The 26,665-nt window shown below is 39.8% G+C and overlaps 1 protein-coding gene and 2 long non-coding RNA genes across 13 annotated transcripts in view, besides 5 other annotated features; 2 read left to right on the top strand and 1 right to left on the bottom strand.

Moving 5' to 3' along the window:
- CHD1 (chromodomain helicase DNA binding protein 1) overlaps positions 1 to 15,534 on the bottom strand; it is a 75,023-nt gene extending 59,489 nt beyond the window's left edge. For 8 of the 11 annotated variants that reach the window (NR_157079.3, NR_157078.3, XM_047416670.1 and 5 more), the window contains exons 1-2: positions 15,066 to 15,534; positions 12,861 to 13,061 (exon numbers count right to left, since the gene is read on the bottom strand). Coding sequence is in view for 9 of the 11 variants with exons in the window: in XM_047416670.1 (XP_047272626.1) it covers positions 12,861 to 12,913 (53 nt within the window). In the remaining 2 variants the exon portion in view is untranslated. The other 3 variants (NM_001376194.2, XM_024454344.2, XM_047416669.1) reach the window with 3 other exon arrangements.
- Positions 14,678 to 15,307: a silencer, noted in NCBI's record as "silent region_16204". NCBI's record gives its function as "represses an Ori minimal core promoter by ATAC-STARR-seq in GM12878 lymphoblastoid cells {active_cell/tissue: GM12878}" and the evidence as "EXISTENCE:reporter gene assay evidence [ECO:0000049][PMID:35858748]".
- Positions 15,089 to 26,665, top strand: part of CHD1-DT (CHD1 divergent transcript) — a 75,460-nt gene continuing 63,883 nt past the window's right edge. The window contains exon 1 of the long non-coding RNA NR_151718.1: positions 15,089 to 15,169. This is a non-coding gene — a long non-coding RNA (CHD1 divergent transcript). The remainder of the gene's footprint in view (positions 15,170 to 26,665) is intronic.
- Positions 15,551 to 16,449: an enhancer, noted in NCBI's record as "NANOG-H3K27ac-H3K4me1 hESC enhancer chr5:98264728-98265626 (GRCh37/hg19 assembly coordinates)". NCBI's record gives its function as "activates a minimal SCP1, AML or CMV promoter by ChIP-STARR-seq in naive H9 embryonic stem cells {active_cell/tissue: H9 hESC(naive)}" and the evidence as "EXISTENCE:reporter gene assay evidence [ECO:0000049][PMID:30033119]".
- Positions 15,568 to 15,777: a silencer, noted in NCBI's record as "silent region_16205". NCBI's record gives its function as "represses an Ori minimal core promoter by ATAC-STARR-seq in GM12878 lymphoblastoid cells {active_cell/tissue: GM12878}" and the evidence as "EXISTENCE:reporter gene assay evidence [ECO:0000049][PMID:35858748]".
- Positions 15,661 to 17,536, top strand: LOC100289230 (uncharacterized). The gene has a single exon (NR_036530.1). It is a non-coding gene; the product is annotated as an uncharacterized LOC100289230 (long non-coding RNA).
- Positions 15,938 to 16,267: an enhancer, noted in NCBI's record as "active region_22837". NCBI's record gives its function as "activates an Ori minimal core promoter by ATAC-STARR-seq in GM12878 lymphoblastoid cells {active_cell/tissue: GM12878}" and the evidence as "EXISTENCE:reporter gene assay evidence [ECO:0000049][PMID:35858748]".
- Positions 20,223 to 20,402: an enhancer, noted in NCBI's record as "active region_22838". NCBI's record gives its function as "activates an Ori minimal core promoter by ATAC-STARR-seq in GM12878 lymphoblastoid cells {active_cell/tissue: GM12878}" and the evidence as "EXISTENCE:reporter gene assay evidence [ECO:0000049][PMID:35858748]".

Consider the following 26,665-nt stretch of genomic DNA (forward strand, 5'->3'; position numbering starts at 1 on the left):
TAAAAAAAGGGGAGGCAGCCTTCTTTTAGGGAATTCTTGAAAGAATTTTTGGACGCACACTTCCCCCATAGGGTAAATTTGGGACTAACTTGATGTTCTGAAGTTCAACCATAAATTATTTTCCCCTAGCTCTCTAGCCCTTTCTTCTCCTTCTAGTTGTATTTATATCTGTACACTGGTTAGATGAGCCTCAGGTTTCTGCCACATAGAACTAATTATTTAATTATTTAATAAAAAAAGGAAAAGATGTTATTAGTTGGTGCTATGTGCCAGATATTAGGTTCTTATTTAATCCTTTTATTTTCATAATACAAATACATTCAAGCTCAGAGAAGGCTGTGTAAACAAATGCCAACACTGTAATAACAAGTGTACAAGTTACGAATATATATGGAGAACTGAAAGGAAGTTCAGAAAAAAGCCACTCATTTCTTATGATGAGAGTAGTAGTTTTTTTTTTAAAAAATTCCTTAATGTTTGTGGCAGAAAATGTGCCCCTCCCTATCCACCCAGTATCTATTTTGTTTGTCCTCTAGTAAAACAACCATCCCCCCAGTTTAGGTTGACACATGCCCACCCAGCTAAAGATTACCTTTCTCAGCATCTTCTACAGCTCAGTGTAGTCATGTGAGTAGGTTCTGGCCAATGAGATACAACTAGAAGTGATGGTGATGTGTGATTTCTACATCACAGCCTTAAAAATGAAGTGGCTTGCCTTAAATCCTCCCCCTTTGCATCTTCTCCCTGCTAGCTGAAAAGGGCAACCACTAGTATTGGAAGCCATACATTAAGAAGAGTAAGGCTGTCCAAAGGTTTGAACTCCCTTACCTAGGAGTGAAAGAGAAGTAGTTATATTTAAGCCCCTGTGTTTTTAGTTCTCTAATATAGTACCCTGTTTCTCTAGCTAACACACTGTACTAACATTTGTGAAATAAACATTTTGGAAAGAACAGGTTTTATACATACACAATTTTAACTCACTTGCTCATCTCTTCAACTAATGAGTACTGAGCTAGAGTTTCTATTGGGAACAAAATGCCATAGAAAAAAAAAATACCTTATGTGAAAGTAAAAAGATAAAATACAACTGGTCCGATTCCTGACTGAGGAACTGGAAATGGGGGAAATGCAATTACATGTATGGTTTTATAGGGAGTGATTTCAGAATTCAGCAACGGTATCTTTCTCCATACTTTTCCCTCTGTCTGGAGAATGCTTTCTCTCCAAAGCAATCAATAAAACTTTTCACTCTTCAAGACTATTAAAAAATAAGACTATTCAAAACTATGTCCTTTAGGTAGCCATTCCCTGGTTTCCCCAGGCACAGATCATTGCCCTAGCTCATGTTCCCACAATACTTTGCTCATGTTACTAATAATTCCTTCACAGTATTACAATTATTTTTATACATATATCTCTCCTAACTAGGTCTTGAAGATCATTAAGTCAGGACCTTTATTTTAGTTATTTTATAGACCACTGTCCACTTTAGCATGACTGTAGAAAGAATCTGGAAAGTAGTAGGTAATGACTGAATGCTAAACATTAACAACAACAACAAAAAAACAATTAGTGGCCAAAGTCAAGCAACGGCTTTCAAACTTTTTGGACCATGACCTATATAATACATTTTACATCATGATGAAGTATACACACACATAAATACAAAGTTTGATGAAATAGTACAAATAAAAACTATAAAAGGTTTCAGAAAACCTGGAAAACATCTTCTCATTTGTACAACTCTGAAAACCAGGTAGTTCCACTGCTTTGTTAAGCACTGACCAGCAAAACAACAGTTCCTTTCAGCATTCTAAACTATCAATCCAAGACAAAACTGTATTATAAACTCTGCTTAAAGTACAATATGATTCTATCTCCTTAAAGTTTCTAACTGAAGAAATTTAAAACTGTTAAAAGTGGAGAGATACTAGGAAGAGTAACTTTTAACATGACTAATTTCAAAGATGATTACTTAGTTGTGTTGAACCCAGGATAAACTCAAAAGTAAATATTTTCTAGTAAGCAGAGAATGAGCAGATGAGAAATAAGGGCTATGGATATATACACTGAAAAGTCACTGAAAAATAGTTTCCTAACATACATCTAAAATTTATTATAGTATCAATGACATGAATGAAAATCTCTAATTCTCTAATTTATAGTTACAACAACAAGGCAAACCTTAATGACTTTTTTCAGGCAGAAGTCTAACACATAGAGAAATTATGTTTCCAAAAAATCAAGTGAGGTGGGAGAGGGTAACAGGAGTTAAGAGATTAAATTAGATTGGGCTATGAAATAAAATATGTTGAAGCTATATGGTGTGTACATGGGGCTCATTTTACTACTGTCAGTACTTTAATATAAACTTCAAATTATTCATAATAATATTTAAGTTAACGCAAATAATGCCTACATTTAAAAGTTCAATTTTGGCTGGGCGCGGTGGCTCACACCCAAAATCCCAGCACTTTAGGAGGCTGAGGTGGGTCGATCACCTGAGGTCAGGAGTTCAAGAGCAGTCCAATCAACATGGTGAAACCCCGTCCTAACTAAATACAAAAAATTAGCCAGGCATGGTGGCACATGCCTGTAATCCCAGCTACTTGGGAGGCTGAGGCACGAGAATCGCTTGAACCCAGGAGGTGGAAGTTCCAGTGAGCCAAGACTGTACCACTGCACTCCAGCCTAGGCAACAAGAGCAAAACTCCATCTTAAAAAATAAATAAATAAAAGTTCAATTTTAAAGAGATTATTGATATTTAGTTTGCTTTTTAAAAAAGGTTTTGGCAGGTGTGGTGGCCCACACCTGTAATCCCAGCACTTTGGGAGGCCAAGGCAGGTGGACCACCTGAGTTCAGGAGTTCGAGACCAGCCTGACCACCATGGAGAAATCCTGTTTCTACTAAAAATACAAAATTAGCCAGGTGTGGTAGTGCATGCCTGTAGTCCCAGCAACTCGGGAGGCTGAGGCAAGAGAATCGCTTGAACCCGGGAGGCAGAGGTTGTGGTGAGCCGAGATTGCAACATTGCACTCCAGTCTGGGCAACAAGAGTGAAACTCCGTCTCAAAAAAAAAAAAAAAAAAAAAAAAAGGTTTAAAAATATTTATATGCTTTTAAATTACTTTAATGAATACTGCCACAAAAAAATGAAGTTACCAGCAATATGTAATTTTAAACAAAATTATTTGTTATGTGGCATTTCATCTGTCTGCATATACCTATGGGTGTGTACTGCACCTAAGAAAAAACTGCCTTTATTGTGAGTCATTTGGTTAAAAAATGTGAAATAAACAATGTAGTATGTACCAGATGCTAGGGTGGACAATGGGTTAATCCTTCACTATAAAATACATTCTAAAACTGGAATAGATAAAAGATGATTAGAAATTTTGGTACCCCTTATACAACTAATTCTGATTCTTTTATTATAAATTTTCCTTTCATATCCGACCTCTGCCTTTTACTAATGTAACTGAGGACTGAATCATTTAGAACTGTGAAAACAGTATTACAGAAGTAATAGTAATCAATCTCAAGCATAAAAACAAAAAGACTCCTTGTTTTAGGCTTGTAGGAATTTAGAATGTTACTTCACTCTTCTCCAATGGCCCCATGCCTTGACATAAAAACTTTTGATCCTAGGACTCATTAGCTTTTACTAACATACTTTTCCTTAGTATAAAAATTAAATCACTCTGCTTTTTGCTTAAGCCTGTCTAAATGCCTTACCACCAAAGTCACATCACCAGGACATTTTTAACATACGTGAAATTTAAGATTATCATGGTTTTAAGCCCATCCCTCCAAAAACAAAGAAACAAAAAAAAAAAACAACCTCTTAATTAATATTGGGCTTGATACTTGTCCTTATGATCAAACTTCACTCCTACATTTGATTGGCCACAGATTTTAGTATCTCTCTGCATTTACAGTATCCACCTGACATATACATGTATTTTTGAAGACTTTTATCTCTTTCTTGATTATAAGCTTTAAAGGAACTCAAATTTTAGAATCCCATGATATCTACCACGTAGTAGTTGCTCAATCATCTAAATAACTATCTGAAAACAAACACTTGTATTTCTGAAAGCAACAACAGTGGAACTGAGAAATAGCTATTTGGAGTCATTCTCATTAAGAAAAGAGTACCCCGCTATTCTTGTGCCTTATGCCTCAGTTCTGAGAGATACTGTAGACACTGAATTCCAGAAGTCAGTACTGTTTGAATAGAACTTTGCACATCTCCAGCTTTGTCTCTACATATTTTAATCTCAATAACTTAGATCTCAATCTATCTACACCAAAGAAACTTCTGAGTGCAATTTAACATTTAAAGTTGACTTCTGACTCAACAGTCACCTCATACCATAGTGATACATAATATATTTTCAATCATAAACACTAATTTTCTCAGTCATATATACAAGTTGATTCTGGTACAAGATTCCTGGAATCTCTCCCTAAAACTAGTGGTTCCAACCCATTCACGTGGGGAATACAGTCCCCATTGGCAGTGTTTTTTCTGCTATGCTTCCTTTTTTTTCCTTCCTTCACCTGGAACTAAGTCACAGAAAAACTTTTTTTTTTTTTTTGAGATGGAGTCTCGCTCTGTCGCCCAGGCTGGAGTGCCGTGGCACGATCTCGGCTCACTGCAAGCTCTGCCTCCTGGGTTCATGCCATTCTCCCGCCTCAGCCTCCCGAGTAGCTGGGACCACAGGTGCCCGCCAACACGCCCAGCTAATTTTTTTGTATTTTTAGTAGAGACGGGGTTTTCACCATATTAGCCAGGATGGTCTCGATCTCCTGACCTTGTGATCCACCCGACTCGGCCTCCCAAAAGTGCTGGGATTACAGATGTGAGCCACCGCGCCTGGCCAAAAACTTTTAACAATGAATAAACCTCAGGTAAAGAACTGCAAAGCTAGATGTCAAATACATTCTCCTTATTAGGGGACTTGCATACTTCTTTAATGGGGGACTATGACTTCCATAAACATCTTCCTGAGCCGGGCGCGGGAGCTCACACCTGTAATCCCAGCACTTAGGGAGGCCAAGGCGGGCGGATCACGAGGTCAGGAGATCGAGACTATCCTGGCCAACATGGTGAAACCCCGTCTGTACGAAAAATACAAAAATTAGCTGGGCATGGTGACGCGTGCCTGTAATCACAGCTACTTGAGAGGCTGAGGCAGGAGAATCACTTGTTGGAGGATGCAGTGAGCCAAGATCACACCACAGCACTCCAGCCTGGCAACATAGCAAGACTCTTCAAAAAAAAAAAAAAACAAAAAAAAAAACTTCCTCTCCAACACCCTTCTGAATATATATCATTTGTTCTTTCTTTTCAAACTACATTTCTCATCATTATGAAAATTACAAAAGTTAAAGCATGCTATGAAAACTTTCCAAATAGCTCATTAAATGACTCTAGTAATCTACCCTCCATTTTCTTTTTACCTCACTTGCATGCCCATTTGGCCCCACAAATTTGAATATACTCAATTGCATATTTAAACTGGCTATTCCATTATCACCCCTAGATTATAATAATCTTTCTTGAAGTTAATGTATAACTTTACAACATGGCAAGATGCTGAATGACTACAGGTGAATAGCTTCATATACATGCATATGAATTTAACATGAATACAATTCTCCTGGGAATCTTATTAAAATGGAAATTCTGGCTCAGTAGATCTGGGACCTTTTAAGATGAAGGAATTGTTCTGTACATTACTGGAGTACAGAAAAAATGATTCTATGCACTTGTCAAAACCCAAAGAACTGTGCATCATTGAATAAGCATTAATATATGCAAATTTTAAAAATCAACCAGTATGATGATGATCACAGGATGGAATGCAGATTGTGACAAATGAATCTAATTTTATTATAAATTTATCACATAATTACACTCAAAGGGGTGAGAGAAAAATGAACTTGACCAACATCAGAAAACAGTGTTTTGACTAGAAACTTAAAGGCTAAATATTAAAGTGTACTGTATGTAAACACCGTATTTTAGTTGCGAAATTAGTTTCTCTTGATAAAGTATATCCTAAAAATTCTAAAACTGCTTTACATGTATATTATGAGTGAATATATAAGCAGATAAATGGTGGATGGTCAGAGCCAGGTTTCTCAATGTTGAGTAAGGAAGTTACAAAGCAATAAGAAAGAAAGGTTAGAATGAACCCTATAGCACAGGATTAGAGTTGGAGCCATCGGTATGAACTCACGTTTATGTATGAGATAATATGTATACAGACGTAAGGATACAGAAATGACTATAGATACGTAGGTATACATAATATATCTACATATATTACCTAGCTCTGTCTACTTTGTTCACTGAGAGGAAATAAAAGCAGTGACACTTGAATATCAACAAGCACACCCAGTACCCAAATCTTGGTTTCTAATGCCATTCTCCAAAAAAATGGAACCAAGGCTCCTTGGAGAGTGGCTGATTCTAGGGTAAAAGTAAGGCAGTGTGTAAAAGAAACATACGAGCCAACCTAAAAAAGCTTCCAAGAGCCAAGGCTAGATCAATTTAAGTAACAAAAAAGTCAACTATTATACAATAGATACATAAAATACCTATTATACATAAATATATACAAATATATATTTTATAGAGTTGTAATCCACTAAGCTGGATTACAACTCAAAGCACATACATAAATCCATACATATATAAACGATTTAGAAATTTCCTTACAGAAATTCCATTTAATATATGTAAATACTCCCCCCACCAGGAGATGGAATTTAATTCCTATCCCAACCCTCTTGAAAGTAGGCTAGACAAAATGACTTGCTTCCAAAGAATATATTATGGAAAGGGAAAAACAGTAACTTTACAGTAGAGAAACTTGCAAATACTACCTTGACCAAGTGAGAGGTTAACACCACCAGTAATGTCATGAGGATAACATGTTTCCCATATGATGTGACTAGCACACTTTATCTTTGTGGTATTCTTTCTAAAAACCAATAACCCTAGTTTATCCTAAGAACAATAGACAAGGCCAGGTGTGGTGGCTCACACACCTGTAATCCCAACACTCTGGGAGGCCAAGGTGGGTGGATTACCTGAGGTCAAGAGTTCAAGATCAGCCTGACCAACACAGAGAAACCCTGTCTCTACTAAAAATACAAAAATTAGCCAGGCATGGTGGTGCACACCTGTAGTCCCAGTCACTCGGGAGGCTGTGGCAGGAGAATCGTTTGAACCCAGGAGGCGGAGGTTGCAGTGAGGTGAGATCGTGCCATTGCACTCCAGCCTGGGCAACAGAGCAAGACGCCGTCTCAAAAAAAAAAAAAAAAAGACAAATCTAGATTTCAAAAACATTCTACAGGATACCTGGCCAGTATTTCTCAAGATGGTTTAGACCATGAAAACTAAGGAAAGACTTAGAAACTCTCACAGATGAAAGGAGACTGGGGAGACGTGACAACTAAATGCAATGTGGCACTCTGGATTTAATCCTACAACAGAAAAGAGGGAGTTAATGGAAAAATCAATGAAATCCAAGTATAGAGTTTAGGTAATAGTTTTTTAAAAAAGAATAAAAAAATAAATAAAATGGCTATAAATCTTGTTTCCCCATCTGGAAAGTGGGAATCATAACAATGTATACATCACAGAAGTTTTGTGAGGATGAACTGTGACAATTCAAGTAATGCACAATGCCCTATGTGCATCATGCTAGGTTAAGGCACAGCAAGAGCTCAACAATCATCAGTTGCCATTGTTACTGCTTCCGGAGAAACGAAACTTACCTAGCCTCTTGCTAGTCCTGCTCAAGACACAATTAATTGGAGGTTCGCAGAGAATGAAAACCATGTATAACAACATCAATAACAAAGTGGCAAGATGCTATGACTCCAGATGAATAGCTTCATATAAATGTATATGAACTTAATACATAAGAATCACTTAGAATCTTGTTAAAATGAAGATTCTGATTCAGTACGTCTGGGGCGAGGCACAAGGTTCTACAGTTATAATAAGCTCCCAAATGATGCCAACACCGCTGGTCCACGGACCACAACTGGTGCAACTTTTCTATTTCTGTAGTTTTAAATATTTCCCATTTTAAAAAAAGGTTAAACATTTTCTCCATTCATCATAAAGTAATACTCATTTTAAAACACAAAACTGCACCATATATAACCAATCAGTCATCAAGATCTTAAACAAGCAGCTACTTAAGCAGAGTAAAAGGGGTAACATCACATTAATGTTTGCCCACACATTATGACTACATACAGAAAAGTAATCTTTGAAAGGTAACTCATACACCATTCTGATCTTTAACCATATAGCCATTCCTGAAGTAAATCATCACTCAAGATAACTTATTTAAAACTAAAAAAAGTCAGCCAGGCGCAGTGGCTCATGCCTGTAATCCCAGCACTTTGGGAGGCCGAGGTGGGTGGATCACAAGGTCAGGAGTTCAAGACCACCAGCCTGGCCAACATGGTGAAATCCCATCTTTACTAAAAATACAAAAATTAGCGGGGCATGGTGGCGGGCACCTATAATCCCAGCTACTCAGGAGGCAGAGGCAGAAAACTGCCAGAACACAGGAGACGGAGGCTGCAGTGAGCCAAGATCGTGCTACTGCACTCCAGCCTGGGCAACAGTGAGACTCCATCTCAATTAAAAAAAAACAAACCACACACACACTAAAAAAAAGTCTACCAGGATTTGAAAAATTTGCTTGCAAATACCACCACAAATCCACACAGCTGCAAATTGATGCTTTGAAATCTTCCAGCATTATCTTTAAAAAGCTTAACTTCAGTTACATAAAACTTTGTGTTGAGCTGTAACTGTTATACAGGTGCATCCTGGCCCACATTTCTTAGTAACTAAATTTCAAGACTGTCAGCAATAGCATAGCAAAAGAGACATATTTTTCCTGTGTATTCTTCTTCCTTTCAGTGAATAGTTATAGAGAGATCTCCAGACAGAAAGAATAGTTAAAAATTTTTTTTTTCAGTAGAAAGCTAACTGTAACCTGCAAATGCCAAATGAATTCTTTCTTAATTCTATTCCGTTTAATAAACTTTCACAAAAGAAAAAGGAAATTTTGAAGCAAAAATACATTATAGAATTCTAGCCACTAAAAAACCAAAATTTACTTTAAAAAGCTACTTACAATGAATATCAACTTTAGAAACAAAGTATATTTCTAATCTAATTATATTAGGGGCCAGGCACGGTGGCTCATGCCTGTAATCCCCAGTGCTTTGGGAGGCCAAGGCGGGCAGATCACCTGAGGTCAGGAGTTCGAGACCAGCCTGGCCAACATGACGAAACACCGTCTCTGCTAAAAATACAAAAATTAGCTGGATGCAGTGGTGCATGCCTGTAGTCCCAGCTACTCGGGAGGCTGAGGCAGGAAAATTGCTTGAACTCGGTAGGCGGAGGATGCAGTGAGCCGAGGTCATACCGCTGCACTGCAGCCTGGGCGACAGAGCAAGACTCTGGCTCAAAAAAAAGAAAAAAAATTACTCTATATTAATATTCATAGTTATAGAAACTTTAGTTTTTTTTGCAAGAAAATCCCTCTACCTCTAAAGTTCACCTCCTCAGTCTTTTAACTAGGCACAATCTCCCTTCTTTGTAATGTCTTATGACAAAAGCTTCTGGGGAAGGGAGTGGGAATTGAGTGTTAATGACAGTAGAGCATAGTATAGCAGCGGTAAGAAAGAAAATGAAGGCAAAAAAGAAGGTCTCTCTCCTGATAAACTCCAAGGCAGTTGTAAAAACTAGATAACTTGATAACCACACTTTTCAGAAGCACACAAAACCTGTATAGCAGAATTAACAACTCCGAATAATTAAAGAAATATGCTTTGCAATTATTTAAGATGAGTATGCATTGTAAAAGATTCCTTAAATTTGATTTCGCAAGGTTTAATTTTTTTTTTTTTTTTGAGACGGAGTTTCACTTGTTTCCCAGGCTGGAGTGCAATCGCGCAATCTCCGGCTCACTGCAACCTCCGTCTGCCTCCTGGGTTCAAGCAATTCTCCTGCCTCAGCCTCGCGAGCAGCTGGGATTACAGGCCACCACACCCAGCTCATTTTGTATTTTTGGTAGAGACAGGATTTCTCCATGTTGGTCAAGGTGGTCTCGAACTCCCAACCTCAGGTGATCTGCCTGCTCGGCCTCCCAAAGTGCTGGGATTACAGGCGTAAGCCACCGCACCCGGCCACAAGGTTTAATTTTTTTTCACCTGTAGTATCAAATTGGACTTATTACTCCTCCTCGCTTTAGATATGGCAGAAAAATATATAAAATATTGGAACAGGTAAGTAGTCAGAATATACCAGCACATGATCTGTCTGCATATCCAACTAGAAGATTTACTCTCGAGTCTTATCTCCTATTTTATGAATAGTTTGGTTCCTTTGTTTCCTCTAGGTATTTCTACCTACTAACCATTCCATTCCAACTATGAATAAGAAAATGTGAGGCCGGGTGTGGCAGCTCACACCTGTAATCCCAACACTTTGGGAGGCCAAGGTGGGAGGACTGCTTGAGCCCATGAGTTCAAGACCAGCTGAGGCAATATGGTGAGACCTCATCTCTACAAAAAATTTTAAAATTAGCTGAGTGTGGTGGCATGCACGCCTTTCAGGATGCTGAGGTGGGAGAATCGTTTGAGCCCAGGAGGTGGAGGCAGAGGCTGCAGTGAGCTGAGACTACACAACTGTACTCCAGCCTGGGTGACAGAGTGAGGCCCTGTCTCAAAAGAAAAGAAAAGAAAAAAAAAATTGTGGGTGGACAATATGACTCTTCTATTTACTTAACTATAGTCAGTAGTCAACATACCTATAGAGATTTGAATCAAAGCTCAGATTCAAAAGTCTTTTAATTAAACCTCAACTCTGGTGATTCTAGTAAAACTTTACTGTTTGAAACTTTACGATGCACTTTGTAATTAATTAAAATGAAACTTCAATATCAGTTCAATCCTTAGAGTTGAGGCAATCATATGAGTTTTAATTAATGCAGAGATAGCATCAACTCAGGTTGTATAACTCCTAGACCAATACTTGTTCAAGTAATAATGCTGCTTTCCATAACTGTTCCTTATTTTATTCTCTATGATGTTCTTGCTTATCCAAACAGTATGTATGAAAGCTGATAAACTAAAGTATAACTAGCAAGGTCAGAAAATTCCAAGTGTCAGGCCTGGCGTGGTGGCTCATGCCTATAATCTCAGCACTTTGGGAGCTCGAGGCAGGTGGATCACTTGAGGCCAGGAGTTCGAGACCAGCCTGGCCAATGTGGCGAAACCCCATCTCTACAAAAAAAATACAAAAATTAGCTGGGAGTGGTGGCTAGCGCCTGTAATCCCAGCTACTCCGGAGGCTGAGGTAGGAGAAACACTTGAGCCTGGGAGGTGGAGGTTGCAGTGAGCCGGGATCACACCACTGCACTCCAGCCTGGGCGACAGAGCAAGACTCTGTCTCAAAAAAAAAAAAAGAAAAAGAAAAGTCCAAGTTTCAGATCAAATACAAATACCACTATTTAGTTTTCTATCTAACATTTTTTCTTAATCTTCCTAATTGCCAAAACTTTCCTGTTTCTTGTCCACCCCCATGTCTCCATCACTGTAATTAATGTTTTTTTTATATAGTATCCTGTGTTACACAAAACATGCTGGTTACAATAAGCAAATATTCAGTGCTCATTATCTCAGAAAATATTTTAAGCCCTTTACATGAAGCATCTCAATCCTCAAATTTTTTTTAAATTTTATTTTTTATAAATTACAGACAAAGTCTCACTATGCTGCCTAAACTGGTCTCCAACTTTTGAGTTCAAGTGATCCTCCTTCCTCAGCCTCTCAAAGTGCTGGGATTACAAACAGGATCCAACAAGCCCAGCCGTGAACTTTAAATAAGATAAACAATAGTTTAATCCCCTCTTTATGGGGCAAAAATCAGAGCCTCAGAGATTAAGTAATTTGCCCTAATTCACACAACTAATAAGAGGTAGAAATAGGGTAAGCAAACAGTTTGACTCCAGTGCCCACATTCCTAATTTCTATATATGATAATGCATATAACTACATGGATTGTAAACTAATGTGCAGATAACTCAAAATTTGAGAGCTACAGAATTTAAAGAATCTTCTTTGCAAACACTTGACCCAAGCAAGAACTCTTAACTCCTTCACAGATAATTAAAACTCCAATCTGAAAATAAAAAAGGGCCACAGTAATATTTCAACAAATGTCTGGCTCAGCACTGTCTAAAACTTTCTCCAGTGATAGAATGTTTTCTATGTGCTGTCCAATATGGTAGCCACTAGCCACATGTGATTATTCAGCACTTGAAATATATCTAGTATGACTAAGTAAATTCTGAATATTTTGTAATTGAGTTCAAATAGCCACATGTGGCTAGTGGTTACCACACTGGACAGTACAGGTATAGAAGACAAAATGCCAGAAAAAGATGAGTGAAAAAATTTTTATTGCCTTCATCTAGAAATTTCACTAACAGTCAAAACAATTTAAATCTATTATACATGCTCCAGCTTAATTATTAGCTCAAATATAAACTTCCAAATAGATTTAAGTAAACAAAAACTTTCTATATTTAAGATCTACTGTGTATCTGAATGAAAAATATAATTAAAACCTGTATTATGAAAAAAGGTTCGTATATCAGAATTTTTTTAGTATTTGGATAGCTAAGAGGAAAACCTGAAAACTCTGCTACCTATGAGGAAAACTAAATAACAACAATAACAATAAAGAAAAAAGTCAAGTTTTCAACTCTCTTCATAGTAAACAATTGATAACAAAGTGCTTACTTACCTTGATTCTCCACTACTGTTTCTAACACTTTCTTCATCACTGTGTCCATTCATTGTAAATTATTATCAAGAAGTTTTAAAGTAAAATATAAATCTTCCCAGTTTAAAAGATGAATATAAATACTGACTCCTTGAATATAAAAATTCACAGATGAATTTTCTTCAACAGTCACAGGTTTTCTGGGACTCTCCTTTGATTCACCTAAAGAAAATATATTAATAAATTAACAAAATTTCCTGCAGAAAAAAGGTAAATTAAGCCCTGTCTAAAACGTATAAATCTACGTAGGCCAATTAGACTACAGCTGTTAAGGAAGAAGTGGGGGCCTTTTATTAAATACTTAAAATATCTAGACTTGTAATAACTACACTCCTGACTGCTAACTAGAATTTAGTATGCTACTGCTAATATACTTCGGACAGAAAAAATTAAAATATTTGTGGAGTGAAAGGATTTTTAGAGACTAACTGCAACTAACAATGTTTTTATAGACTCCTAAAGCAAGGTGATACGATGTAACATATGCATACATCCCAAGAGTAGATAACGGAGTCTTATTAGATAACTTGGTCGAATAAATGAAGTGGGGGGGGGGGTGGGAGGAGGTTACCTTTAATCAAGCCCTCACTCCTATCACCAAGAACTTCATACACTTGAGTGAGAAAGTTCTGAAAACGCTCCCATGGGAGGAACAGGCAAATAAAAGATACCATATACTCTCAACAAAAATGCATAGCTCAAAATAAATGTGTTATTTAACAGGTAAACGGATAGTGGGATGATAACATTTAAATAATACTTAACCAGTTTGCACTTGGTTTTTATTTTGTGAAAAAAATTGAAAAGGTAATAGAATATACACTATATCTGATTTTTTACGTAAAAAATTTGGGGCAAGAATAATGAACCAAGACACACCATTTCCACCTTTAAAGATTTCAGTACAACACTGAAGAATCACCTACAAGCCATCCACGAATAAACAAAGGAGATCTCTGGCAGGGGAGGGAGAGGAAGAAGCGGGGGAAGGAGACGTCAGATCCTTCCCCAGCCAGAAAGTACCGAGACAGCCAACTGAGAGCAGAGCTGTCCTCCGACCTCAGCAAAGAGAATTCACTCCTACGATTATTTCCATTCCACAAGAGAGGGAGGGAAACAGATTGTTACCAACTCAATGATAGCAAAGTCTGCATCTGGATCAGGATGTTAATTCTCTAGACTACTGTCCAGTAGACTCTGCAAGAACAGGTTATCTAAAAAGTAACCGTTCTACTCAACATTTATTCCTAATGTTAAATATTAATCTCAACCCTAGTCAAAGTGCCTTACTGAACAATTAAGTCTTAAAAAATCTAAGTATGTTAACAAACTGCCTTTCCCGTTTCTTCCTTTAAAAAGTTCACTCCCCTTTTCGTTCTTTCCTTTTCACCTTCCTTTCGTCCCTCAAAATGGCTTTCTCTGTACATTTTAACTTCCTTTCCCCTCCATCTCCCTTATCCGAATAAGTCCTCTGAGACCCTTTTCACAACCCTGAGTTCTGAAGCTCCAAGCGCACACAGCGCTGTGTCCTCTCAAGCGTCTCCACAATGACTACCCTAAGTTATTAAACCTCTTCAATCCTCTGTCTTTTAGCAGTTGCTTTGCTCCTGCTAAGTTTTTAAAGCGGCACTCGAAAGAGGTTTGGAAACCATCCTCACTCATCCATCCAGCGCGCTCCAATCAGCCTCCCTCGCGGACCTGCCCCCCTCTCCCAGGGCCTCCATCCCGGTCCAGGAGTCCCTCTTCCCGCCTCAAACTTCCCGCAGACCCGCCCCGCGCCCTCCCAGGCTCGCCCGAGCCGCCGCCCCCTCCCCCTCCCGCCGCTCCCCACGTGCTGGGAGCCCGGGTCGCGGCAGGACCCACGCACCGGCTAAGTGCTAGCCATTCGCGGGTCTCCTCTCGCGGCCCGGTCGGCACCAAGCCGAAGAGGCCGGGGCAGGGCCGCCGGGCCGGCGCAAGGATGCGTTCTGCGGCCCCGGCCTGTACTCGCCGCTCACACGCCCCCTGCGCGCCAGGCCCGTACACCGCCACCGGCACTCACAGAGCCACCCGGCCTTCACCCGGCCGCTGGGCCGCCGCCTGGGCACCGCGCCGCGCCCGCCCTCCGCCCGGCCGGTTCCTGTCCTCTCCGCCACATCCTGACCCGCCCGCCGCCCCCTTTCTTACCGGCGGGCTTGGCGGGGCGGAGGGAGCCGACTCGGGTGGACGGCCTCCCCCGCGCCCAGGCCCGGGATCTCCGCCGCCCAGTCCTAGGGCTCCGGCGTCTCGGGGTAAGCAAGAGTCCGTGCGGGGGAGGGGGAAGGGGACAGACGCGGAGGGGAAGGGGAAGCCCCGGTCCGCAGCACCAACGCGCGATCCCCTGCGGAGTGGAGCTAACAATTCATTATTGAAGCACCAAGGGCGAGGGCAGCAAGAGCTATAAGTAACCAGTCGTCGCCGCCGCCGCCGCCGCCGTCGCGCGCGCGCTCCCGCTCCCTCCGCTTATCTGCCCCCGGCAGCCGCCATGACGCCGAGAAAGCAAGCGAGCGCAACCGTCTCCGTCGTAGCCGCCGCCGCCACCGAGGTCGCCGTCGCCTCCGCCTCCCGCGCGACGTAAGCGCCTCTGCTCACTCCCCTTCCCGACAGAGCGCGAGGCGGGCGGGCGCGCGCACGCCGAAGCCTTTCTGCTCGCGCGCGGGAGGCGGGAGGGACTACGTTGAAGGGTCGTGGGCGTAGGAAAAAAGCGATTGGTGCTGGGGCGGGGCGGGGGGGGCGAGTGCGCGCACGCGCACGAATGGGAGTGCGCACGGCGGATGCGCAGAGGCTGTCGGACTCTGACTGCGCGGAGACCGCTGGACTCTGGTCGCGGCCTTAGTCCGCTGATCCTCGCTTGGGTGCCCGCCCTTAGCGGCCCGGCGTTGAATTCCGGGAAGTGGGAGCTTCAGGCTCGCTCCGTGCGGGTATGGGCGCTAATGTCACTTGGGATGGTTGCGCAAGGACATCGCGGCGGACACTGACAAGGAACCGGGGAGGAACGGGGGTGGGGAGAGACTGCGATGGGACTCGGGAAGCCGGGAAGGGCCGCGCTGAATAAGCCTAAGGGGCCGGGTCGCAAGGAGTGTCGGGTAGCACAGGCCTCGGCTCAGTCGGAGCGCCAGGCCTCAGGGTCCGGGCGGGGGCTGCTGCGTCACACCAGGCAGCCTGGGAACGCAACTGTTGGGCAACCGTGGTGGCCTCTCGCCACCTCTTACGCTTGGGCGATCTGCGATTGACGCATCCTGGGAGCTGATGTCCCGCACGGGCGGGGCGCCGGAGGAGGAGAGAAAATAGAGACCCGGTTGTTGACAGCCTGTGATGCCGCTTGATTCATGTGTGGGTGGCCTGGTTTAGAAATGTACCACCCTTCCTTTCTAGGTTCCTCCCCGGAGGGCGGGGTGACGGGTGCGGCGCCGAATCGCAACAAAAAACGCTGCTCGAGGGATGTTAGTAACTGTCTCAGCTTAAGTTGCTGCCTTTTAGCTTACAGTTTGTATCGTAACTGTAATTGTGGATCTTAGTTAAATCCCTTCAGTGTGTTGGAAACATATTTTTAAGTGTATTTTTGAAACATACTTAGAGCATTTTGAAATGCTTTTTTGAAAGCGTTTTTTAAATCAAAATTCTGTTACACTTTATTTTTTTCAGTCTGCAGATGAACTTGACTCACTCAAGGTTAATGATTTTTGTTTTTTATTTATGTTTGTAGAGGCGGGGTTTTGTCATGTTGCTAGGTTGGTGTTGAACTCCTGAGCTCGAGCGATCCACCTGCCACTGCCTTCCAAAGTGCTGGAATTACAGGCGTGAGCCACGGCGCCCGGTGGCCGAGGTTAATAATAATTAAAAGTTTCTAATCCCATTGTTCAGTTATTTGATTTGGTGTAAAGGCGCACTTTCCAAGTCAGATGAGTTTGTGGTAACATACATTCCCCAAATAATTATTTTTCCCTTGTGGGAAATATTCCAGTTTTAGGCTACCAGCTGTTTAAACAGTTTGGTTCAAATCCTTCAAAAAAATCTCAAAACATAACTCCACATATGTATTTACTACATATTGAAGGGTGTATTCACTTGGAGAAGTAGGAGAAAGCAAACAGATGCCAATGGCCTTTTTGAAAACATGTATCTATCAGCAATAATTGAATAGCAAAACGAAGTGGAACACTACCATCCTTTGCAATATTAGATAGTTTTAATACTGGGTTGTGAGGAATGAAAAGATCATACAAATCGTCATTTCTGAAGTCATTTCTGAAGTCGTCATTTCTGAACTGAGTGCTAATTTTTCATATTAAGCTTTATGTTAATATCCTTAATGAGAGGAACTTCCTGTGCCCGTAATTTCTCCAGAGAAACTATTAACATACACAGAATGTTGTAATCAGAAGTATAGTTCAGTTAATAAAGTCCTCAATTACAACTCTGACATTTTGTCATTGTCTTATGAAAAGAATTACTGTATATACAGTCTATTTTACGTTTTCCGGAAGCACGTCAGGCAGGTTTTTTGTTTTTTTACTACTAATTGTGCCATTGAATATGCTATTCTGTCGTATTGTGCCATCAAACATGCTATTCGAAAAAAGATCTTGCCCAATTTGTAATAAAATATTGAACATTGGAGATTTAGATTTCGAGTAAAATCATACTTTATTGCTTTGCAGAAGTACACAGTAGGTGGAAAATTGCAACAATCTTGCCAGTTCATTTTTTAAAAAGCGTGTAGGTAATCCAAAGATACCTTTTTGATGATTTGTTATCAACATAGTTAAATTTGCAGTGTCACTTTATTTGAATAAACTAGCTTTATCTCTACTTAGTGGTACTAAAACAATAGCCAAACAGTTGATAATCTCAACACATGACTAACGAAAAATTCCACATAATTAACATTAACCAGGAGGTTTTTGTTACTATTTAATTTCTCATTTTTAAAATTTCATATTCTTTGGAAAGAATATTACTTTTCCGGAATCTAAGACAGCATTTTGTGGGTCCTTAATTGTGATATGCTTTACTAGGTAAAGTACTAAATGGGTATCCTTAGGTGGGGATAGGCTGGGAACCACATATCCAGAATTGTGAAATATATAACATAAACAGGATAACTTGCTCCTTTGTTAGCTTTTTGGATGCCAGGGTTAAGATTTTAATTCCATAATTATGTCCTTGTTGCCTGGAGGATTTGCATATGAGAAACCACAAAAACAATCGGGACATTATTAAAATACCCTAGAATCTCAACCTGTGACAGTATTTCCCATGTCCTTGCAAAACCAGAGGAAGTCTTTCCAATATGATTCTTAAATTTACAAAGTCCTCTGAATAGAAACCATGAAATCCTAAGTCATCTTCTAGTGAAGATTTGCTGTACATTTTCTGTTTTCCTAATAAGAAATTAGAGGAGTTTAGTTCCCAGTGTTGGGCAAGGGATAGGACTCAGTCACCTGGAAAGTTCTTTTGTAACTACACGTGCCTGACACTCCTATTCTTCCCCTCTGCTGATATGCAGAATTTCTAGGTTCTAGGTAGTATTTGGGAAGTTTCCCAGATTATTCTGATATCTACCAGCGGCTCATCCACCTTCTTTATGGTCACTGTATTTGGGGATTTTGAATGATAAATTCTTGAATCACTAAAAGCTAAATTTCAAACAGAAAATTGTTAGAGATGATACTAAGAGGCAAGTATGTATAAAATCTAATAGGCATTGAAGAAGATACAAAGATTCCATCCTCTACTGAAAAATTAAGTGTGCACGCAGAGTAAGAAAGAAGGTTAAGTAGCCAACCTCAAAAATATTTAAAAATTATTGCATTGATGCTGTATCACTCATTTCCTTGCCCAGATTCTTTTTTTTTTTTTTTTTTTTTGAGACAGAGTCTCACTTTGTCACCCAGGCTGGAGTGCAGTGGTGCTATCTCATTTCACTGCAATCTCCGCTTTCTGGGTTCAAGTGATTCTCATGCCTCAGCCTTCCAAGTAGCTGGGACTACAGGCACGCGCCACCACACCCAGCTAATTTTGTGTACTTTTAGTAGAGACTGGGTTTCACCATGTTGGCAAGGCTGGTGTCAAACTCCTGACCTCAGGTGATCTGCCTGCTTCAGCCTCCCAAAGTGCTGGGATTACAGGTGTGAGCCACCATGCCCAGCCCTTGCCCAGATTCTTTATTCACTGCTGTCCAAATACTGTTGGTCCTCTGTACCTGCAGGGATTTGCAGGTACAGAGGCTCAACTATAAGGGACTTGAGCATCCCCAGGTTTTGGTAAATGGGGGTCCTGGAACTAATTCTCTGCAGATACTGAGGGACAAACGGTACCACTCATTTTAATGCAGAAATTTTGTATTCATCCTTTCTTTTTAACTCCCACTACCGGGCTTAGTTTAGGCCTCTATTTTCTCTATCTTTCCCTTCAGCTTATCCTTTAGGTTTCCTTCAAACTTGAAATCTAACTAAATCAGTCCCCTGTTATATACCACATATATTTGTAAACTAAACATATATGAAGATGTATGTACATATCATATATTCCTAGTATTTTAGTTACTTAATTTTTTCACAGACTAATCTCAGTATTGCCTCTCATCATTCCTAATGGACACTTGGTACTCTAGACACTTCTTCAGGTCACTGGAAAGGTATCTCTCATTGTAAGTGGATATAACCCATTTATCTTATGGGTCAGTCTTTCATAAGTTCGTTTAAGTAAATGCTCAAGAACTGTTGAGTACCTTGACACAATTGTGCTGACAACCTATAAGACTTGTCAGAAAACTCTCTGACCTCCCTTTTAGGACATGGAATTGAGTATTCTGTAAGTGCGGCATGTCATTGTATCACAATATAGCATTTGTTTCCATACTACATTGTGAGGTCCTTGAGCAAAGAGTACTGTGCCCCAGTGCATTGTATTGATATTCATTCAATACAAATGTAAGAATGTATTACATACCAGACATTCTGCTGAGGGTAGGGAGGGATTATAATACAGCAAAAACTAACACTTTCAAAGTTAAAGCCTAGTTCAGGACACAGTCACACTATAAAATGACAACTTAGAAAAATAGTATGAAGAGACATACGGTGCTGTGAGAATCCATAATAAAGAACCCTAGTCAGAAAAGTCTCAAGGAAGTGACGTGATCGTTGTGGTCTAGAGCTGAAGAATTAATATGAATTAGGTAGGCAAGAAAGGGAAGTACAAGAGCTGCTTTCTGGGTAAAAGAAACAACATGGGCAAAGATTCTGGGGTCAGAGAGATCACGTCAGTGCACTTGCCAGTTTGCCAAGAACAGGCCGTATTCACTTTCAGAAGTGTTCAGGTTTGGATAGTAAATTGCAGGGCCATCCTATCTATAAGGGACTCTAAGAAGCATGGTTCTGCTGGAGCAAACAGCAGCTGGACAAGATGAGGCTACATAGACACTAGGCCCAAAGGCTAAGTGAAGTATGTTTTTCAAGACAATGAGGAAGCTATTGAAGGATTTGAAACTGGGTGGTAGCTTGATGGGACTGGCAAATTGAAAGTTTTTACTTTAGGTATAAATCCCAAAGAAGGATTAGATGTGGGTTGAAGTAGATACAGTATTCCTAATTAAGTCAGGAGTCTTTGGCAGATAAGAGAGGTTAGAAATGACATGATAGACTAGGATAGTGTAATGGAGGTGGAGAGAAGTAGAATTGGGAAGGGTAACAAAACTTGATGGGATTGGATTCAGGCAGGGTTAGGAGGAGGAGGGATGTTAGTCATTTGCAGCTGAATGACATTCACTTATATAGTAATGTATTTGGAGATGTATAGATAGGGAGATCATTACGTTTGGTTTAAGACAGAATTGGGCCGGGTGTGATGGCTCATCCCAGCACTTTGGGAGGCCAAAGCGGGTGGATCACAAGGTCAGGAGATCGAGACCATCCTGGCCAACACGTTGAAACCCTATCTCTACTAAAAATTAAAAATTAAAAAATTAGCCGGGCATGGTGGCATGCACCTGTAGTCCCAGCTATTTGGGAGGCTGAGGCAGGAGAATGGATTGAACCTGGGAGGCGGAGGTTGCAGTGAGCCGAGATCGTGACACTGCCTTCCAGCCTGAGCGACAGAGCTAGACTCTGTCTTGGGAAAAAAAAAAAAAAAAAAAAAGACTTACAGAATTTCTGATGCCTTTGAATTGCCCAGGAGGTTTCTGGATAGAACCATGGAGCTAAGTGAAGTCTAGACTGAAAATTAAAGCTGTTAAGTGTGAAGTGTGTAGGGAAAAATTAAAGTCTTGAGTATTCATGAAGTAAACTTGGAAGACAGCCTAAGTGTGTGCAGTGAAGAATTCCAGTTTATTTTTGACTAGGTAGAGGAAGATGAACTGGATAAGGAGGAGTTACACAGTTACCAGCAGGGTGTTGCGCTACTGAAGATGAGTAAGGCTTCATGGAAAGAGTGGTGAATAATGTCCAGTTGCTGTATAAGAATTAGGTGGAAGGATTAGCACATATTAATCATCTAAAAAACAAATACATTAATATCTTCAAAGTCTGATTTGGGAGAATTTGTTTTCATTGTTTTTTTTCAAACAGGAACTGAACAATACCATCATTTACAGTTACGGGCTATGGGTGGTCACTTAATTGGTGTGATTTGAGACTGAGAACCTCCTGTTCCACAAATCTATACTTCATCCTCTACTAATGCTTGAAAAGTCATTGATAGAAATCTGTTTTAAAGCATATATTCCTGGGAAGAGTAATATGTTTAGAAGATACATAATTCTCAGCTGTGCCAAAATTTAGAATTAACTGAGGAGTTGTGTACTAAAAATGCTCAAGATTATATTCCATGGTTCTGAGGTGGGGCCTTGGCACATGCATTTTTTTAAAAGCTCCCCTAGGTGATTCTAATGTGCCATTGTTGAAAAATCATTGACAGCATCCTATTAACACAGTATTGACTCATAACGTTTTGTTTAGATGACATGTGGGTAGGACAGGACACCTATTTATAAAACAGTGGTTGGTAATGGCCATTGAGTAGGGAGGATTTCGCCCAAAAGAGAACATTTGCCAAAATCTGGAAACATTTTTGTGGTCATCCCAGTGGGTGGGTTTTGCGGAGTTGGCACTATTCATACATAGTAGTTAGAGGCCAGGATACTGTTAAAAATCCTGCAGTGTACTGCACAGCCCCCTCTCCTCTCATAAGAAAGAATTATCTGGCTCAAAATGACAAGAGTGCCCTTGTTGAAAAAACTTGCTGTAAGCGATGGCAAGCTAGGTAGTATTTTCCAGTGAAATCTTACACAGATTGGAGTTGTGGTTTGGTAAGGGTGCTAATGAATGAGGATCTACTCTCTACCTAACAGCTTAGCCAAAACTCACCCTTTCTTATAACCAGTAACAAAGGAGCCTCAAATAAAATACATTTTTCAGAACAAAGAAATGTGACTAGCATAATAGACTGATTGCAATGTTATTTTTCTTGTTAACAATTTACAGTGTAACAAACTGTTATTGCTGGTAAGGGTGCAAATTGGTTACAACCACTTTGGAAAACTGATGTGCAGTATTCATTATAGCTGAACTTATCCTACCCTGTAATTCAGCAGTTTCATTCCTGAGTGTATACGCAAGAGAAATTAATGTATGTGGCTACTAAAAGTTTCGTGTAACAATGTTCATAGCAGTTTGATTCATTATAGCCCCAAACTGGAACAAAGTGAAGCATATTCATAAAATGGAATATTATCTGGTAATAAAAAAGAAAATGCTACACACAGTAACATAGACAAATCTCGCAGTCATTGCATTGAGTGAAATAAACACAAAATAATTCATATTGTATAATTCCATTTATATGAAATTCAGGAACAAGCGAAACTAATCGATGATAGAAGTCAGGATGATATTGACCTTTCTGGGGTTGGTATTGGCTTGGAAGGGGCACAGTGAACCTTCTGAAGTGATGGAAATGTATACCTTGATCTGGAATGTTATACTGGTGTATGCGTATGAGAAAGTTCATCAAGCCGCACATTGACTTTTTGTGAACTTTATATGTGTTATACTCCAGTGTTTTTTAATTACTAAATATAAGAAAAACAGCAAAGCCACTTCTTAACTACTTGAAGTCTTCTGTCTCAAGCTTGGTTAAATACAGGGTCAACTACATACTATATTCTCAATAAATATAAATAACTCTAATGCATTATTTGGTAAAAGGAATATGGGATTTGGAATCAGACCTAGTTTGTTTGTTTTTTAAGACTAGTCAAGTGCAGGAGTGAGAAGGAGGGAAAGAGTAGAACAAGAGTTCAATCTAGACCTGACTGAACAACCAATTGAGATAACTCACTACCTTTGGACCAGCTTCAGACCTAGTTTTGTATCACAGCTTCATCTTTCATTAGCTGTATGACATTGAATAAGTCACTTACTTGGGTACTTTTTGTGACTATAAAAGAACAGAAGATAGCTGAGAGAAGTATAAAAAACATTTTTAAAATTTTAGCCTTCATTCATGATCCCTCACCACTGAGAAACGTCCACACACATTCAGGAATGGGCCTCAGCAGTTAAGAATGCATTAGGTGACCTAACACCTCTGGCTTTAGCTAGTTGAACAACAGAACCCTATCTGAATGAATCAGATTTTTCTGAGAATTTAAAATTAGGATTGAGAGAAGCTTGTCAGACTGCTGATCACTTGAACTGGGAAAATATAACCTTAGGCCAGGGCTGCTTTGTTTGGTAGCAAGCAGCATGTGGAGAATCTGAGAGCTGTGATACAGAACAAGAGTAATCTCAGATTACTTACTGTGTCACCCAGTGTTCTAAGTGCTATAAGTCTGTGAATTTGGGTACAGGTTTAGTATTCCTTATCCAAAATGGTTGGGACCAGAAGTGTTTAGGATTTGGGTTATTGGAATATTCGCGTATATATAATTAGATATTTGGGGATGAGTACTCAAGTCTAAACATGAAATTCTTTTATGCTTTATATTTTATGCTTTATATATACCTTATACACATAGCCTGAAGGCAGTTTTATACAATGTTTTCAGTAATTTTGTGCATGAAACACGTGATGCATCATACAAGGTCAGGTGTGGAATTTTCCACCTGCTGTGTCATGTGGGTGCTCAGAAAGTTTCATGAGGCAGAAAGATTGCTTGAATCTAGGAGTTCAAGACCTGCCTGGGCAACATAGTGAAACCCCAGCTGTATTTAAAACATAATAATAAAAAGTTTCAGATTTTGGAGCAAATCAGCTTTTTAATTAGGGGTGCTCAACCTGTACTATTATCCTTACATTACAGGTAAGGAAACTAAAAAGCTTGCTTAAAGTAAGTGCTAAAGATAGTAAAACCCAAGTAATTTGACCCCGGAGTCTGCTTTCATGAAGCAGTGCTGACATACCAGACAGAGATACTGTAGCTGCCTCAGTTCCTGATAGCTTTCTGGTTCCTGATCTTAGCGCTTTGCAAGGATAGGTCTGCTCCCTATCTTTGAATTATTTATAATAATTTATCCTTAAAATAAAATTTTGTGTCTTAATCTAGCTTGAGTGGGTTTCAGCCAGTTGCAACTGAAAGAGCCCTGCCTCAGTTTGACTGTGAATGGGGTTGCAAATAACAAACCTCACAGAAACTGACAATGGCTGATTCAAGGTGAGATAGGTGGGTAATGTGGACTTTCCACCATTAAGATGGAAACTTAGTTTGTGTTATGCAGCAGTGAATCCTTTTATCCAGACTTTCTCCAACAGTGTTTTAGAACTCAGTCATTGAGTGTTGCATTACAGAATTTGGTAGCCAAATATTTTTAAATGTCAAGTATATTGGTTACTATATATGAGTTTTGAAAAGCACATTGGAAAAGAGAGGCATTCTAAACAAGTTTTCCAGAAACAAAGCAGATTGGAGCAAACTCTGCAAATTTGACAATTATTGGAAGCCATTTCTGCCTGTAGCCTATGGTCTGAGAATGTTTGACCAGATCAAATTATTCGAGAGGCGTGTTTAATTGCAGCATTTTTTTGCCACATTTTTTCTAATACTAGAGTTTTTACACTGAGTACCAGAAAGTGAAATCTTAGTATTAGGAATAAGACTCAAGGAGGTGCAAGTGATAATAAAGAACTCTAATTCCTCAGCTTCCTCCCCAAATATTTTCTACTGCCTACCCCTTTTCATGCCTCACAGAAATATGATGATACTTCACACCATCTATCAATAGCAACTAGGATTGGAATGCACTGTGTGTATAGGGATATGACTAAAGGGCAAGCTGGCATGCCTGCTTATTCTCTTGTTTGCTTGTGAGGCTAAAACAGAACAATGTCGATGGACAGAGTCCCAGCTGTTGCTAAGAAACAGAAGTTCAGAAGAATTGACAACTTAAGGAGAAAGCTGACCCACTAAGGTCTTCAGCATTAACTAAATACAAAAGGAATCTCCCCTAAAAGAAAATCGGCAAGCAATCCTTCACAGTAGAGCAGTTGCATGCCATAAAACCCCAATGTCTGCAGTAGACCCAGACCACAGACTATCTCAACTTCTCAGGCACCTCCCATTCTCCAATTCAAAGGAATTTGCACCTGCCATAAGTGAGTACCCTTACCCAAATGAGGAACCTCAGTGTCTTTCACTTGGGAATGTACCTGAAGGACTCTATAAAAGGGAATCCAAACTGGGTGTAGCCAGATTTTCTAATAACTGGTTAGGAAGTGGTTCAATTAATTTATGCCTTGTAAGATTACAAGGGCCTATTATGTCCTATCATACTCCTGCTGCATACAGTATATACTGTAATTGAGCTAGTTAAATTTGTATTGAGTCCACAGATTGCAGTATAAATTCAAATATTTCTTGAAAGCTCTCTCTATCCCTGTCCTCAGGCCAAGTACTAGGAAAACAGTGTGAAGGACAGGGTTTTTCTCACTTGGAGTTGACATTCTAGTTTGAAATTGGAGGAGGAGAAAGACAGATGAATAAGTAAATAACAGGATTCTAAATGGAAGCTGGGTGCCGTGGTACATGCCTGTAGTCCCAGCTACGTGAGAGGCTGAGGCGGGAGGATTGCTTGAGTCTACGACCTTTAGTGGAGGCCCACCTAGGCATCATAGCAAGTCCTTCTATCTTTATAAATAAATAAGATATTGGGATGATTTCTGTAAAGGAAAGATAGGGTACTATCAGAAAGAGTAACGAGACATTTACATGGGAAGAGCAGTTAGGGTGGTCAGAGAAGGCTTCTTTGAGCTGTATCTGGAAGGATGAGATGGAGCTGATTGTAGGAAGAACCGTGGGAAAAGTAGGAAGGAGAGCAAATGCAAAGACCTTAAGGTAGGAGAGCGTTGTGACATGGAAAGGACTGGAAGAGGCAGATACTGCTGAAGATAAGTAAGTAAGAAATAGAGTTGATAATAGAGTGAGCACTCATTCAACAATTTAAAAAATTATTTTTTAATTTTTATCTGAATTCATTTTTACAAATTTTGTATTAACATTAATTTGAGGAAGTAAAAATATTCATTTGGCTAGAAACTTCTCTCTTTCTTTTCATTTTTTAAGTTCTCTATACATCTTAATTTTTTAACTGCCTGAAATTAGACTTGGTATAACAGGTATAAGGCATGAATATTTTACTTTTAAGAAATGATTTTTCAATCAATTTGATTTTATCATTTCTTAACATTTGTTATTATGAATCATGTTTCTGTTTTTTCCTCTGCTTAGTTAATATCACTTTAGAGAAATG

The sequence above is a fragment of the Homo sapiens genome, chromosome 5 (genome assembly GCF_000001405.40).
Source record: "Homo sapiens chromosome 5, GRCh38.p14 Primary Assembly".
Classification (NCBI taxonomy): domain Eukaryota; kingdom Metazoa; phylum Chordata; class Mammalia; order Primates; family Hominidae; genus Homo; species Homo sapiens.